This window comes from Homo sapiens, chromosome 18 (assembly GCF_000001405.40).
Source record: "Homo sapiens chromosome 18, GRCh38.p14 Primary Assembly".
Taxonomy (NCBI): domain Eukaryota; kingdom Metazoa; phylum Chordata; class Mammalia; order Primates; family Hominidae; genus Homo; species Homo sapiens.
In genome coordinates, this window is record NC_000018.10 from 23,520,879 (window position 1) to 23,536,922 (window position 16,044).

At 46.2% G+C, this 16,044-nt stretch overlaps 2 protein-coding genes across 18 annotated transcripts in view, besides 1 other annotated feature; one reads left to right on the plus strand and one right to left on the minus strand.

Annotated features, from left to right (window-relative positions):
• The window catches only part of RMC1 (regulator of MON1-CCZ1), a 28,353-nt gene extending 17,409 nt beyond the window's left edge, over positions 1-10,944 (plus strand). For 3 of the 8 annotated variants that reach the window (NM_013326.5, XM_047437486.1, XM_047437487.1), the window contains 10 exons: positions 3,252-3,296; positions 3,551-3,604; positions 5,759-5,887; positions 6,917-7,023; positions 8,301-8,420; positions 8,757-8,834; positions 9,150-9,254; positions 9,351-9,419; positions 9,509-9,734; positions 10,747-10,944. In NM_013326.5, the coding sequence (NP_037458.3) occupies positions 3,252-3,296; positions 3,551-3,604; positions 5,759-5,887; positions 6,917-7,023; positions 8,301-8,420; positions 8,757-8,834; positions 9,150-9,254; positions 9,351-9,419; positions 9,509-9,734; positions 10,747-10,826 (1,013 nt within the window). In that variant the 3' untranslated portion in view covers positions 10,827-10,944. Of the gene's footprint in view, positions 1-3,251; positions 3,297-3,550; positions 3,605-5,758; positions 5,888-6,916; positions 7,024-8,300; positions 8,421-8,756; positions 8,835-9,149; positions 9,255-9,350; positions 9,420-9,508; positions 9,735-10,746 lie in introns of those variants that run through there. The other 5 variants (NM_001318709.1, NM_001318707.1, NM_001276342.1 and 2 more) reach the window with 4 other exon arrangements.
• NPC1 (NPC intracellular cholesterol transporter 1) overlaps positions 1-16,044 on the minus strand; it is an 80,323-nt gene that overhangs the window by 14,695 nt on the left and 49,584 nt on the right. For 2 of the 10 annotated variants that reach the window (XM_017025787.2, XM_006722479.4), the window contains exons 21-25: positions 15,795-15,998; positions 14,591-14,822; positions 13,568-13,681; positions 12,477-12,639; positions 713-2,028 (exon numbers count right to left, since the gene is read on the minus strand). In XM_017025787.2, coding sequence (XP_016881276.1) covers positions 2,012-2,028; positions 12,477-12,639; positions 13,568-13,681; positions 14,591-14,822; positions 15,795-15,998 — 730 coding nt within the window. In that variant the 3' untranslated portion in view covers positions 713-2,011. Of the gene's footprint in view, positions 1-712; positions 2,029-7,328; positions 8,850-10,563; positions 11,407-12,476; positions 12,640-13,567; positions 13,682-14,590; positions 14,823-15,794; positions 15,999-16,044 lie in introns of those variants that run through there. The other 8 variants (XM_047437539.1, XM_017025785.1, XM_017025786.2 and 5 more) reach the window with 4 other exon arrangements.
• Positions 8,190-9,389: an enhancer, noted in NCBI's record as "MED14-independent group 3 enhancer chr18:21109032-21110231 (GRCh37/hg19 assembly coordinates)". NCBI's record gives its function as "activates an origin of replication core promoter dependent on BRD2, BRD4, P300/CBP and CDK7 cofactors, and independent of MED14, by STARR-seq in HCT116 cells {active_cell/tissue: HCT116}" and the evidence as "EXISTENCE:reporter gene assay evidence [ECO:0000049][PMID:35650434]".

Below are 16,044 nucleotides of genomic sequence, written 5' to 3' on the forward strand. Positions count from 1 at the left end.
CTAATTTTTTTGTATTTTTAGTAGAGATGGGGTTTCACCATGTTGGCCAGGCTGGTCTTGAACTTCTGGCCTCAAGTGATCTGCCCACCTTGGCCTCTCAAAGTGGTGGGATTACAGGCATGAGCCACCACGCCTGGCCCAAATTTTTATATTTTTGGTAGAGATGGGGTTTCACCATGTTGGCCAGACTGGTCTTGAACTCCTGACCTCAGGTGATCCGCCTGCCTCGCTCTCCCAAAGTGCTAGGATTACAAGTGTGAGCCACCATGCCCAGCCTGTTCTAGTTTTTTAAAAAATGCAACTACTACTGATCCTATAAGCTAAAATTATGTTGTGAAAAAAGCATTTTCTAAGATAGATGAATCTCCCTTGGGAGGAAATAGAATAATTTATCTTCCCTGAGCTTTAGAATGGATAGTTTTGATTAGCCGTTGATGGTGAAATATGTTTTAATATTGAATACACCCGTAACGTTTTCTGTTTGCCTTAGCTCTGTAACGCTGAAATTAACTTTGGCTGTAGGTTTGTTACTGTAACCTGGGATCACTTTTCTCTTTCTCACATTCCGTGTGACAGTGATGATGAATATTGCATTCTTTGGGACTGACAGTCACAGTAAGTGCTTCGGCTGTGGCTCTTAGGCTTACCCAAATCAGTCCTCCTTCTGTCTGGAGAGGTGGGGTTGGGAAGTCAGAAGAGTGGAGGTCAGGAATTCAGGAAAAGGGAAAGAAGTCATTTATTTGCTTCGTTTTGCCTTTTTCCAGTGTAATTGATTTTAAGATAGAACTGAAAGAATATTCAACACACACTCTCTCTCTTTTTTTTTTTTCCTTAAACAGAACTTTATTTTCTCACAGTTCTGGAGGCTAGAAGTTCAAGATCAAGATGTCTGCAGGTTTGCTTTCTTCTGAGGCCTCCCTCCTGGCAGGCCTCTTTGCAGATGGCCACCTTCTCACTGTGTTCTCACAGGGTCTTTCTTCTGTGCCTGTCCCTCGCAGCAGTCTCTCCCGGCTCTCTTTTGAAGGAGATTGGAGTGCAGAATTGGCTAGTCTGAGGTTTCAGTGTGCAAGACGTAGTCAGATGGCTCACATTTGGAACCCTAGTAGTAATGTTTTATTCTTTGTCCGATGGCATTGGGCGGGTTGACCCAGCCTGCAGTCAGGATTTCCTTGTACCGTTCACCCGGGAGTTCAGAATCGCACTCTGGCTGAAAGTTCAGCAAGAGCACCATTGTCAGCCTGACTGCCCTGTCTTGCTGGACCAGCCAAAAGCTTAGTTACTTTCTGGCACAGTTGGAGGAAGGAGCTGGTTCTTAACAGACGTTCAATTAGGTCTTTTGGCTTTCTGTGTTCTTTCAAGCTTCTTCCTTTTCCTTTGTAAATAATGTTAGTATTGAAAGAATAGATTTTGCCAAGTGATTGTCTTGTGTCTGCTGCCCACTTGGCATGAAGGTAACTGCTGGTGAATTGGGGGAAAAAAACTAAACATTTAGAACAAGCCTGTCCAACCCACGGTCTGTGGGCCACATGTGGCCCAGGACAGCTTTGAATGCAGCCCAACACAAATTCTTAAACTTTCTTAAAACATTATGAGATTTTTTTAATGATATTTTTTAAGCTCATCAGCTATTGTTAGTGTTAGTGTATTTTATGTGTGGCCCAAGACCATTCTTCTTCTTCCTCTTAAGGCCCAGGGAAGCCAAAACATTGGACACCCCTGGCTTAGAACCTTCAGCTCTGTTCCGGTGGTACAGGACCAGTTAGGAGGCATCAGGTTCTAACCATCTGGTCATAAGGGAACAGATGCGAGGCCTGGTCACAGTAACAGCCCGTGCAGAGATCAATAGGAGGAAATCAGGAATCCACTGAGGGTCTGGGGATCTAGGTAGTGTGGGCTGCAAAGCATTTTCAGAGGTTAGTGACTCTCCTTTTGTTTCCTGCTGGGCTGTGAGCCCTGGCGGCTTGATGCATCCGTGTGTCTTGCCCACTGTGCTGCCACTGGGTGGGCGTGCTCAGGAATTGAATGGGCCTGTTGAGAAAGATATAACCAGCACTTTTGGGAAGAGTCAGCCACCCTTTTTCTTTTTGTTTTGGGCCTGTTAGAACAGTGGGTCTCAATCTGACTACATATTAGGATCATCTGGGGGGCCTTAAAAATGAAAGCTCTCACCTGACAGTGTGTAGGTCAGCCACCCAAAGGTGAGGGCTGTGCACTCGGCGCAGACCTTGACACTTAGGTCCAAAGCGCGAGTGCTCTTCGCCAAAGCTTGTCTGCCTGGGCTCTTTCCTACCTTTGGGTGGTCTGTTCACAATGACCCTTTCTCTGACCAGCTGATTGAAACCTGCCTTCTGATTGTACCTGGGTAATTGGAACAGAACCAGGAGTCATGGTTAGCTTGTAGGGCTGCCTGCATGGCTCATGAGCAGTATAACTGGTTGTTAACGGTCCCTGTCATGTGAGGTTTTGGGGGTCTGCTTCCCAGACGAGCTCACTGTGCTTGGACCTACTCTATGCAATGGATAATCGAACTAATTATTTAGATAATTAAGTGGCTGGGCACAGTGGCTCATGCCTGTAATCGCAGCATGTTGGGAGGCTGAGGTGGGCAGATCACTTAAGCCCAGGAGTTGGAGACCAGCCTAGGTAACATAGACCTTGTCTTCACAAAAAAAAAAAAAAAAAAAAAAAAAAGAAAAAAAGTTAGGGCATGGTCACATGCCTGTAGTCCTAGCTACTCTGAAGGCTGAGGCAGGAGGACCACTTGAGCCAAGGAGTTCGTGGTTATAGTGGGCTATGATCAACTACTGCACTCAAGCCTGGACAGCAGAGCAACACCCTCTCTTAAAGAAAAAAAAAGATAATTAAGCTACAAGCCACATTTATTTGAAACATTCTCCGTGGATGATCTGGGTATTTGATTTTGAATCCTTCAAGTAAATTTCTCAGTTCCTTAACGTGCATATGTAAACGATCATGAGTCATCTTTGGTTATTAAAAATAACCCAAACCACAGTGATTGAAGCCTTGACATGCTTTCTTTTTCTTGGTGAGATTTTCCTGGATTGTTAGCTCCTTCCCCCTTCCTCCCCGTACGTGCTTTCAGTGAGACGGAACAGTTCATTTCTTCCTTGACTACAATTGAATAAACATTTCGTAATGACATTAAAAAGTATTGACTTTTGTGTCATAAGTACCAGCATTTGCAGCATTTTCTGACTGCATCGTTGCACTTATGTTTTCTCAATTTGTAGGTCCTGCTGCCGTGACCAGCCAGTCTCCTGTTCCATGTAAACTCTGTATCCTTTACTAAGGTGTGGCACCGTGCACAACAGGGCAAGTGGTCACCCTCAGAGAGTGGTCCTGAAGTCCTCCTCCGGGCAGCTGTGAATAACACTCCGAGAGCCACCCCGCAGGCAGCTTCCCTGACTGTCCAGGGGCCTCGCGTTTAGCGTGGACTCAGTACATGGTGGGCAGGGGCGAGTGCTAGCGGAAACTGGGTTTGCTTTTTGTTTTCATCTTTTCCTGGTTTAGAATTTCCTATAACATGTGGATTCTTCATCTTGGATTGTCTTTCAACCTGACATCATTATCAGCGCAAGCCAAGGTAGGTCAGCGGGGACAGTTGTCGTGTTACAACATGGTGCTTGTTGACTTTGGATCCCAGTTGTAGCCAGGGACGTTTTCAAGGTGAATCTCTTAGAAATGACCCCTCCTTTCAAGCGTGGGAATGGGATTTTTTTTTTTCACTTTATACGTTTTTTACTATATGTGCATTTTATCAAGAACATATACTACTTTTAATAATTAAAGCAACAACTAAGAATGCCATTCTCCTGCTTAAGCCCATTCTGGAAAAGCCAGACTCCACCCCAGGGTGGATGGAAAGCCGGACTCCACCCCAGGGTGTCTCCCTCATTTCTCCCATCGACCTTCCCACCGGTGTCCGTGCCCTTTTCTGTTCTGCATGAGCCCGGGAGGTGTGCTCCTCTTTCTGGCCTTGCTGAGGAAGCCTCCTCAGTCTGTTAATTGTCTCTTCCTGGGTAATCTCTTTATTAGAGAAATCTTTTTTTTTTTTTTTTTTTTTTTTGAGACGGAGTTTTGCTCGTTGCCCAGGCTGGAGTGCAATGGCGTGATCTTGGCTCACTGCAACCTCCGCCTCCCGGGTTCAAGCGATTCTCCTGCCTCAGCCTCCTGAATAGCTGGGATTACAGGCATGTGCCACCACGCCCAGCTAATTTTGTATTTTTAGTAGAGACGAGGTTTTTCCATGTTGGTCAGGCTGGTCTCAAACTCCCAACCTCAGGTGATCCGCCTGCCTCGGCCTCCCAAAGTGCTGGGATTACAGGCATGAGCCACTGTGCCCGGCCTAAAGAAATCTTATTTTTTTAAGGCAGGGTCTTGCTCCGTCACCCAGCCTGGAGTGCAGTAGTGCTATCTCAGCTTACTGCAGCCTTGAGCTCCTGGGCTCAGGCGATCCTCCTGCTTCAGCCTCCCAAGTAGCTGGGCCTACAGGCGCACATCACCACGCCCAGTTAATTTATTATAATAATAATAATAATTATTTTGAGACGGAATCTCGCTTTGTCACCAGGCTGGAGTGCAGTGGTGCCATCTCGGCTCACTGCAACCTCCAACTCCTGGGTTTAAGCGATTCTCCTGCCTCAGCCTCCCCAGTAGCTGGGATTACAGGCATGCGCCACCACACCCAGCTAATTTTTGTATTTTTAGTAGATACGGGGTTTCACCATGTTGGCCAGGATGGTCTCGATCTCCTGACCTCGTGATCTGCCCACCTCAGCCTCCCAAAGTGCTGGGATTACAGGTGTGAGCCACCACAGCCGGCCTATAATTTTTTTTTTGTAGAGACAGGGTCTTGCCATGTTGCCCCTGTGTCTCTAATACCTCGCCAGGCTGGTTATTAGAGAATCTCCTATGTTACTCTTTAATCCTCTGTGTATTTTCCTGCCTTTCCTCTGGAATTCCTAAGAACTCTTGAGGAGAGAATTAGCCCTGATGCTGTAGGCATCCACTGTATGTAATGCATTGTTGTGCCTTGTCTGTAACCCATAGCCTCATGTGACATCCACTGTATGTATGTAATGAAGTCATTTCTCTCCTGTGCATCTCGCTGGTGTTTTCCTGTACAGCTGCTCTGTACCTGCCTTGGGCCAACTGAAAAGGGGGTCACCCAGATGATTTTTTATGTGGCACTTCATTCTCCTGTGGCATCCCAATTGGGAAAGGCCACACCAGATGCTGGCAGTGTGGGTGATCAGTACATTTATGGGTCGATGAATGGATGAGTTATGATGTTCCATTGAGAGCCTCTGGAGTTACCTTTTAAACTAATGAGCTGTTGTAGGAGAAACCAAAGCACAGGACTGAAGTTGATGCCACGTGTTGACATCTTTTTCTATTTTAAACGTTAAAAGAGGGGCTAGGTCTAGGGAAGTCCCCGTTTGGAATGAAGGACTAGGAGCTACACCTTTGATGTGCCCCTGAATGCAGAGGTTACTTGGAAAAGAGTCAGCCAGGTGTGCGGTGGTTGGGCTGTCATCCTCCTGTGGTAGACACGCTCCTGAATTGCTCCTGAATGGCTCAGCTCTGCTTTGGTTAGGAAGGAAAAGCTACACTGACTGTACTTTGCGGCTTTTTATCACCACCTGCCACCCGCCCCGCAGATGTTTAGGGGAACCACTTTTGGGCTTTTGTTACGGTTTGCATCATACTGTTTTATTTGCTGCCTCTTAAAATCCAGGTTACCTCTGGAACCTCCAAGTGAAACTTGAGCCCATAGTAAATCTCTTACCAGACAAAGGAAGACTCATGGACTTTCTCCTCCAGAGAAAGGAATGCAAGATGGTCATCCTGTCTGTCTGTTCACAGAGTAAGTTGAATCCTTCCCCCTTGCTCTGATTCCAGTGTGAGGCCTGTGCTGCCCAACACTTTTTATCGGGATGTGGGCTACATTGTTGTGTCTTGTCTGTGACCCACAGCCTCATTCTTTATGTGAGGGGTGGCTATGTGACCCCCTAGGAAAGGCTGCTAAATGGAAAGATGATTTGTAGAGATACTGGTAGAAAAGAACAATAAATGGGATGGTTCTGAATGAAAGTGGGCACACAGGAGGGGAGTGGGCCACCACCCCTGGCCTTCACACACACCTCTTTCAAAATCCAAGCCACTCACTGCATATGTGTCTTCTTTAAGAATCCCCTACTGAGGCCAGGCATGGTGGCTCATGCTTATAATCCCAGCACTCTGGGAGGCTGAAGCAGGAGGATTGCCTGAGCCTAGGAGTTCGAGACCAGCCTGGACGACAACATGGCAAAACCCTGTCTCTACAAAAAAAAAAAAAAAAAAAAAAAAAATTAGCTGAGTTTGGTGGTATACACCTGTGGCCCCAGCTACTCCAGAGGCTGCCGAGGGAGGATTCCTTGAGCCCGGGAGGACGAGGCTGCAGCGAGCCGTTTGTGTCAGTGTACCTCCAGCCTGGGCGACAGAGCAAGACCCTGTATCCAAAAAAAAATAATAATAATAATCCCCTACCAATATGTGCTGTTGGTGTTTGTTTTTGTTTTGGTATAGATGGGGTCTTGCCTTGTTGCCCAGGCTGGTCTCAAACTCCCAGCGTTAAGTGATCCTTCTGCCTCGGCCTACCCAAAGTGCTGGGATTATAGGCATGTGCCACTGAGCCTGGCCTGCTATAGCTTTTTTTTTTTTTTTTTTTTTTAACCGTAACCAGAAAGGGGTTGCGAATGACATCTAGCTGTCAGGTCTTTAAAGTAGAGTGTCCTTTAAAGGTACTTTTGCATTGGTAACCTTTTGAGATTAGTTTTTATCATAGCAACGTGTGGAAATTCTGAAGCTGACATGAAGTTGGTTTGATCCGTGTGTGAACATTGTGCCTTTCCAGTGTTAAGTGAGTCAGACAGAGCATCGCTGCCCGTGATAGCCACTGTTTTTGATAAACTCAACCATGAGTATAAAAAGTACCTGGATGCCGAGCAGAGTTATGCGATGGTGAGTTACATGGAGTATGACAAAGGGTCCTCCTCCCCCACCCCCTCCCGGGTATTTTCTAAGTAATTATGATGCAAAATTGTTTCCTATATATTAGAATAAGGTCGCTGAGATTTGCCGCCTGCCATAGGGCAAGGTGGCAGTAGTGGGGGATAGTGGAGGAGTAGTAAATTCAGGGTCCCTGCATCCCACGAGCTGGCGGCTGCATCTCACTTCATACCTTCACTGTTTTTGTTTTTCCCATCTGTGTTTGATCTTGCCTGTAGATCCTTGGTCTACTGTTATAGATGAGAAAAATCAGTCTCTGCTTTGCAATATTTTGTATATTTTTCTGTTATGCCAGAGTGAGGACTTAGAAAATTAAATTAGAAATATTTATATTTGCCACACCTTTCTTCCCTTTTGGGAAAGAATCCTGTTGAGATAGTGACGATTCAGTGTTAGCACTTAGCAGGCGTGTTTGTAGTCAAGGTAATAACCATGGCTTATCGCCACCAATTCCCGCTGTATTACTTGTACATCATATCTTCTGAAGCCAGAAGAAAAGTTTAGGACAAGGAGAATGAATTATTTCAATTCCAGGATCTGATTAGTCCTAGGCTGAAAATGGTTTTAAACCAACAAAAGCCCCAGAACTCCACTCCCCTTTAGCTGTTCATGGAAGGGTAAGAGGTCTGAGACAGGCACTGAAGAGGGCCAGTTGCTGGGACAGTGTCCATTCCTACGCTGCCAGACGTGAGGGATGGCTGAGTCCTTTTGGACTCTATTGCTGTGGGTGTTCTGGGCTGTGGGAATCAGTAGGTCTGATCCCAAATGGCAGTTTCTGTGCCGTCCCACACGGTCTGCTGGGCTCCATAAACCGTCATGACTCAGCAGTGTGGGCCACTGACCAGCCACATGAGCAGCATCTGGAGTTTCTTGGAAATGCAAGTTCTCAGGCTACACCCCACAGCTATTGCATAATCTGCACGGATCTGAACTGCTTTTTTTTTTTTGAGACGGAGTTTTGTTCTTATTGCCCAGGCTGGAGTGCAATGGTGAGATCTTGGCTCACCGCAACCTCTGCCTCCTGGGTTCAAGGGATTCTCCTGCCTCAGCCTCCTGAGTAGCTGGGATTACAGGCATGCGCACAGGAAAAAGTTGTATCTAAGTAGAGAAAGTGTTTTCCGCTCATATCCTGGGTCCACATCGAAGAATTCAGTCCTTGTGGATGAACTGTAAACAGCACCCTTCCTCTAAGATGCCGAAGATCATAGTTTGTGGTTTTTTTCTTTCAGGCGGTGGAAGCAGGGCAGAGCCGAAGCAGCCCGCTCCTCAAGAGGCCGGTGCGGACCCAGGCGGTGCTGGACCAGTCAGATGTGTACACCCATGTCCTGTCAGCCTTTGTGGAAAAGAAGGTGGGCTGCAGCTTTCCGCCTCTTCTGGACTGAGAATGCTCAAAACAAGGAAGTTGCTGAAAACGAGGAGACTTCATGTGATTAGAGTCACTTGAAGTGATTAGAATCACTGGAGTTTCCTTGGGTGAGGCCCTAGAGCTGGTAGTTTGGCTTCTAATGCTGAGGCCTAAAGCATAATTGTTGACGGGTGGTTCTGGAGCGATGTGTGCAAAACCAGTGAAAGATGAACACTGGGCCATTTTAAGATGGAAACAAGGTGGGGGTTGGATAGAGAGTTATATGCAGCCTCTTTTGCACCTCGTTGGTATTTGTAAGACCACATTTTTTTCTCCCTAGGAGATGCCTCATAAATTTGTGATAGCCGTGCTGATGGAATACATTCGTTCTCTTAACCAGTTTCAGATTGCAGTACAGGTACCTTCAAATCATCTGGGCCCAAGTTAAAACAGAAGGAATTTAAAAAAAAAACACAGTCACTGTCTTAGAAGATGACTCATATGCTAAGACAGGTCTGCCTCCCTGACTCAGAATGCTGAGTGACTCCTGACATTATTAGTTGGAATGGGAAGTGTAAGGTCAAGTTGGGGTCTTTACCTGCATGACGAAACCACTTCTTGTAATGACAGACTTTTACTGTGTTGGTTAGAATAGCCAGTCCTTGGGGAGCCTCTAGTCTGTTGTAGCTGAATGATTTGGAAGTGTTCTTTCACTTTTTACTTTTGTCCTCAGCATTACCTACATGAACTTGTTATCAAAACCCTTGTCCAGCACAACCTCTTTTATATGCTGCATCAGTTCCTGCAGTACCACGTCCTCAGCGACTCCAAACCTTTGGTATGCATTGCCAGATTTTTACTTCCATTGTGGTTAAAAATGGAAAATTTTAACCGTTATCTTTCCAACTGAAGTGGGTCTAAAAATGTCTTTCAGGCTTGTCTGCTGTTATCCCTAGAGAGTTTCTATCCTCCTGCTCATCAGCTATCTCTGGACATGCTGAAGGTAACTCTGATGTGTGAGGTTTTAGACTATGGAAACTAACTCTGTTCCTGTTGTTTGCACTGACCTGGACTTCTCTCCCTTACTGCTAGCGACTTTCAACAGCAAATGATGAAATAGTAGAAGTTCTCCTTTCCAAACACCAAGTGTTAGCTGCCTTAAGGTTTATCCGGGGCATTGGTGGCCATGACAACATTTCTGCACGAAAATTTTTAGATGCTGCAAAGCAGACTGAAGACAACATGCTTTTCTATACAATATTCCGCTTTTTTGAACAGCGAAACCAGCGTTTGCGAGGGAGCCCCAATTTCACACCAGGTGAGAATGCAATGAAAAGACTTGGGGTAACCATAGCCTCAAAGAGTAGCAGAGGGCACTGGCAGCTGGTGGGCGAGGACCCTGGGTTAGCATTTTTGTAAACAACACAATTTGATAACAGCCCACCTAGCCCTTGGCCCATTATTTGTAGTAGAGTGAATTCAGTATACTGACAGAATCTGAATTATGCTCTGGAACTCACCGAGGAGGTGTGTTTTGAGTCAAGACACATTTAGGACCCAGATCAGGCACAGCCCATCTCTTATAGCAGATCTTGGAATATCTCTTAAAGCCAGGAATAAGACGGCAAATGGTGGCTAAGGGTTTTAAAGGGTCTGGGGCTTATTAAGGTTTCAGTTTTATGAAGTATACATTGGTTGATCATTCTCATTTTTTTTTTGAGACAGAGTCTCGCTCCGTTGCCCAGGCTGGAGTGCAGTGGTGTGATCTCGGTTCACTGCAACCTCCGCTGGGTTCAAGCGATTCTTCTGCCTCAGCCTCCTGAGTAGTTGGGACTACAGGTGCGTGCCACCACACCCGGCTGATTTTTGTATTTTTAGTAGAGATGGGGTTTTACTATATTGTCCAGGCTGGTCTCAAACTCCTGACCTCATGATCCGCCTGCCTCAGCCTCCCAAAGTGCTGGGATTACAGGTTTGAGCCACCGCACCTGGCCCTGGTTGATCATTCTCATCTCCAAATAGTTATACAACCTAAGACATCATCTTTAGGATAGGGAAGGATCAGGGCTGTCTAATGAAACTTCTAGGTCTATTTCTAGCTCAATGTAAGACGGCATTTAGTTACCATAAGGACAGGTTAGATAGAATCTCTTCCATTTAGCTTTTGTATTTGTCTCTCAAAGCAGATAGGGTAACCCCAAAACTTAGGAAAACAATGTATTTTATTAAAGAAAAATAAGTTAAAACCCAGTAGACACACCTACGAGATGCTTTCTTTGTCCCTCATTTCATGCCACATCTAACTGGCAATTAAATCTCTTCCTTTCTAGGGGAACACTGTGAAGAACATGTTGCTTTTTTCAAACAGATTTTTGGAGACCAAGCTCTAATGAGGCCTACAACATTCTGAAATCACTTGCTGTTTTTTTATATAAAAATGTGTACAAAGTTAATTTATTGCATTAATAAAGCTCTTTAAACTATAAAATGTTATAAAGTGTATCTACAACCTCAACTGTCACTAAAAATATGGTATAGAACTTGTGGGATGGCTTACTCCTAAAAGGAGAGACAGACAGTGCATTGATTGGCCTTTACAGAGTGTCAGTGAGCGGATCACATTCACAGCCATCTAGTGTCACCTCCTGCTTGCCAAAGAATGAGGTTTCTTTCCTGAAGAGGCTGGGAGAAGTTTAGTGTCCTGTGGTTGCCTCCAGATCTAGTAATACTGCTTCCCAAGTCAACTGTGCATTCCTGAGTTCACAGGCGCTACGTTCAAAGCTGCTGCCAAACAACCGATGGTTGGCACCATCCGGTGTTCAACTTGGCCTTGCCGATGCAGCACCCGTCCAGTGGTAAACCGACCGACCCTTAGACACAGTTCAGTCAGGATGCCCTGCGAGAGGGCTAGAAATTTAGAAGCCGTTCGCGCTCTGTTCCTTTGTATCGCTCTTCAGTGGCACAACTTTTGGCTTTATTTACTGATGGCCCTATGAGAGAGAGAGACTTTTTCTTATTTCTGCAGGAGAAAGGGAGCTAGTTGGCTGGGCATAGTGGCTCACGCCTGTAATCCCACTTTGGAAGACTGAGGCAGGAGAATTGCTTGAGACCAGCCTGGACAACAGAGTGAGACCACATCTCTCTCCCTCTCTTTTGGAGATGGGCTCTTTGCTTTCTTCCTCAGGCTGCAGTGCAGTGGTATGAACACGACTCACTGCATCCTAAGCCCACCCTTCTGGGCTCAAGCAAGCTTCCTGCCTCAGCCTAACAAGTAGGTGGGACTGCAGACGCACACCACTTCACCTGGCTAATTTTATTTTTGTAGAGATGGAGGCCTCACTATGTTGCCTAGGCTGGTCTCAAACGATTCTCCTGTCTCAGCCTTCCAAAGTGCTCATCTCTTTTTTTTTTTTTTTTTCTTAAAAGGAACTAGTATATTAGATTGTAATAGAACTACTTTCTATCCCCCGGAGATGATAAAAAGCCCCTCATTTTCTTAATCTTCTACTTCAGTGCTTCAATTTAGTGACAAAGCTATAAATGAAGCAAATCAGTATTGTTCTTTCAACCGTGGGTCATTTTTGTGCAAGGTGAAGTGGCCATAGAAGTAAAAGGATCAAGGACAGTCTCGAGATGAAGAAAGGCAGCAAGCACTTTGCTAAGAAACGGGAAATCCATGAGGGACATAAAAAGCTGTTCTGCAGCACTGCTGGTGTGAGAGCTGGCTGCCAGATGGACTCCTTCATCTCAGTGGCAGGGAGGAGCTGCCCTGCCTGCTGACACTCAGATCCATTCAAGGACTGGCTCCAGGCCTTTGTGAAGCAGACAGATCAGGCCTCCAGAAAAAACATCGACAACTTCCTAATAAAGTAGTCTGCACCATCATGAATCCCCTGGATGGGTTTTTTCTTTTAGAAGAAATTTTTTTACTCAGTATCATTTATCATTATCAAATGACCATTAGTATGAGTTCAAATACTTGAAAAGAATGCCTCAGGATAGAATTCCCTTTCAGTAATGTCCTTCTATTGTGCCACCCTTTTAAGATGAGAACTCTTACCTATGTAACTGAGTAAGACAGGGAGAAATATTAATCCGTGAGTGGCTCCCAGTAAGACCATGGCCAAATACATCCTGAAGTAGAATATCTGGAAAATTTGAGATTTGGCAAAAGCCAACACCACAATCCCTCCAAATTTTGTAAGTGTGATTCCACTGAACACCTAAAAGAAGAGATACTGTGTTAGAAACCACTTTTACCAACCTGTAATTGAACAAAAACACTTCCTTACAAGGATTTCTCCCAGGTTCAAGTGATTCTCCTGCCCCAGCCTCCTGAGTAGCTGGGATTAAACAGGTGCACGCCACCATGCCTGGCTAATTTTTGTGTTTTTAGTAGAGATGGGGTTTCACCATGTTGGCCATGGTCTCGAACCCCTGGCCGCAAGTGGTCCGCCAGCCTTGGCCTCCCAAAGTGCTGGGGTTATAGGCATGAGCCACCGTGGCCAGCCCTTATGGGGATTTCTTAATATTCAAGGTTCAAAGCAATGGGAACTGAACCCAGGTAGCATCATCTACTACCTAACACTATTTGCTGCCTTATGATCCTGGGGGAGAGGTATGACCAAGTTAAAAGCTGTGTATTCTGCACAGACACTGCATCGTGTCTCCCAATTGATTATCTTTCTTTATATTCTCAGGTGAAAACTTAAATATTTAAAAGTGTTACGAAACAAAGTTTTAGTTTTTACTCTTTACCAGGTATTTTCTACAGTGGTAAAGAGATAGGCTAAGCCAGGGTGTAGAGTTGAACCAAGACGACTCTCCAGGCACCAACCGCACATCACACGCTGGGTTCTGGCCCGGGCTCCCCTGCATTTTAAATGGGAAAGACTGCCAGCTGTCTCATGTTTAACTTGTCTGTTATTTTCCTGCTTCAGCACACTGCCACCTAAAAAGGAGCCGTACCAACAGGTACAGTTCCACAGAACGTCCGTTCTGTCCACGATGTGGCAGCTAATTCATGAATTGCCTGAAAGCTTGCAATCCTTAGAAGCTGCTTTGTAAGTACAGGATCCAGACTCTTCAGTCACTGAGGAGGATTACTTTGTGGTGCGACTCTGCCGGCGTGGCCCTGCTCAGGGTACTCACGGAGCTGCCCATGTGGGCAAGTGCCTCTTCCGCGCGCTCCACGCGGCTGCCTTTCATGCTCACCGTGAACGCTCTGGTTATGTGGCTGCAGAACTCCACGGAGATGCCACAGCTCTGAAATAAAGCACTTCCTTTAGGATGGCTCTCTTCCTGTTGAAGACCCTAGGCAGCCACCCCGTTCTGAGGATGGGTGCTAATTACCCAGGGCACCCTGGGTGCTAGAGGAGGCCAAGCATCCCATTGGACTTACAAGGCCTCCATCACACCAATCTTACTGTACCAGGAACTTTTTGGGGCCCTCTCTACACACAGCCAAAAGCCTGGTTTTCTGTGGCACGTTTGTGTTGACCAGGAGAAATTGCTGGAACCCGTTAAGGTCACCCCACCCGCACCGAGCTGGCGCATTGTCACAACTTCTTTTCTTGGACCTCAGTGCTCCCCTATCTGAAGCAGGGCTCATATCTGAGAGTACGGATACACTGTTCTATTTTCCATGAATACCTTCTCAAGTGCTCTCATCTTTAATGATTAAAAGTACCTGATAACCACATAGGAGGCAAAAGGCACTGGTCGGAGAGCTCCTGGGGCGGGGTGCAATTTTCTAAGTAAAAAGTGAACATCCTGCTGTCATCAGGCTACAGGCTTGTGCAATCTCTAAAGAATAACAAATTACAGGCAGACTAGCCCAGAACTAGGCCAGGAAATCACATTTCCATGGTCAGAGGCACCATCAGGTATACTAGTATAGCCGCAAGGAATGGGACAAGAGAAAAAATTGAACAGAAATTGCCTGTAATGTGCCTATGCTCCCAGATGTCCAACTCAATGCTCGCTCCCTCTATGCCCTGTCCCACCACCATCCAGCACTCCTCCAGCACTCATCCTGCCTCTCCATGTGTGCCAAGAGCAAGCGCCAGACTTGGTATCTTACTCCATCTTTAGGGTTTACATGGAATCTAAGACAGCCAATTCCCCCAAGTGAAACAGGAGCTAGGGACAAACTGAGACTGTATGAGGACTCACCATCACCAGGTTGACCAAGGATACAGCGTTCAGACTGATGCCCCAGAGCCACATAACTCCAAACATGTTGACCAAGACCATGGCGATGGTGGCACACATGATGACTGCAGACCAGAGCTCACAGCCCAGGAGGACCATGGTCACCAGAAATATCGCGCCCAGGGACACACCGAGGTTGAAGATAGTGTCGTCAATGATGGTCAGGTACTGTTCGTAGAAGACATAAAACACACTGGAGGGGAGAGGGGAGGCCTCATTAAAGCTCGCTCTCACTCCCGAACACTGCGTGTTCATCCTGTCACCACTGCCAAGTGGTCAGACTCCTTTGGGAAACATCCCTTGCAGAAAACCTTGCTGGCTGTCTACAAGACTCACCGAAAGCAACTCACTTGACCTCTCATGGCCACTGACCACCCAGAGAAGGGCCCAGCAGTGATGCAAAATGTATATTTTTGATAAAGTTTCTGTTTATAAGCCCAATCTATGCTATTTTATAGACATTTACAGAGAGCATTCCACAGCATTCTGAAAAAACACAAAAAAACAAAGAATCCTGATCTATCCTGAGACACTACCTCAGGCTCAGCGGGGTCCGTGCAAGGCCTGAGGAAAACATGCTTTCATTTATTTTCTGCCAGAGCTAACCGGCTCTTAACTTCTTCCAAACAAATCCAGGCCTTCCTGCTTTAAGCGAGATCATGGGGAGGCAGGAAAAATAAATCACTTGTTTCTCCTACCTTTCTACAGTTTCTAAATTCAGTAGTTCATACATAATACTTTTCTTCCTGGGAAAAAAAACCCCTAACAATATAAAAAGTCTACATACAGGCAGCATCCCAAATAACCAGCAGTTAGGGATTCTGGTTCATTGTTGGCCAAGAATGTGGGCCGGGCCCTGCTCTGAGCCGCCTGCTCTCCAAGCGCCCCCTGCCTTAAGCCATTTTCCAGTGTGTGTCTCTTGCAGCTGTGCAGTGGCGCAGAGATCAAGTTTTGCGTCTCTAGCCCTCAGGCCTTCACAGAGACTTTAGATTCTGAACTCCTTTGCCCAGCACCCATTTCCTTTGATATACTGCCCTGTGCTCAGAATGGAGCAGGGGCCAGAACCCAACCTGAAAATCAGCATCTTGCCAAGGGAACCCTCCCCACTCCCACCCAGTGTAGGCCCTTTGCTGGGTAAACCCCATTGAAAAAGGGCAGGCTTTACCTGTAAGGAAATACTCGGTAGGCACTGCCGTTAATGCCCATGGTTTCGGTGACATTACTGGCTATAAGTCGGGCTTTCTTCAGAGCGTCAATAAAGTCAGCAGAGGTCTGCAGCACGGTGTGGTAGGTCATGAAGTACGTGGCTCCGACCCTGGTGCCATGGCCAAGGAGGATGTTAACTGCAGAACTATAGGCAGCATGTCCCCTGAGGAAAGAATCCTGGGTGTCAAGAGAGTCCAGGTCTTGCAAAA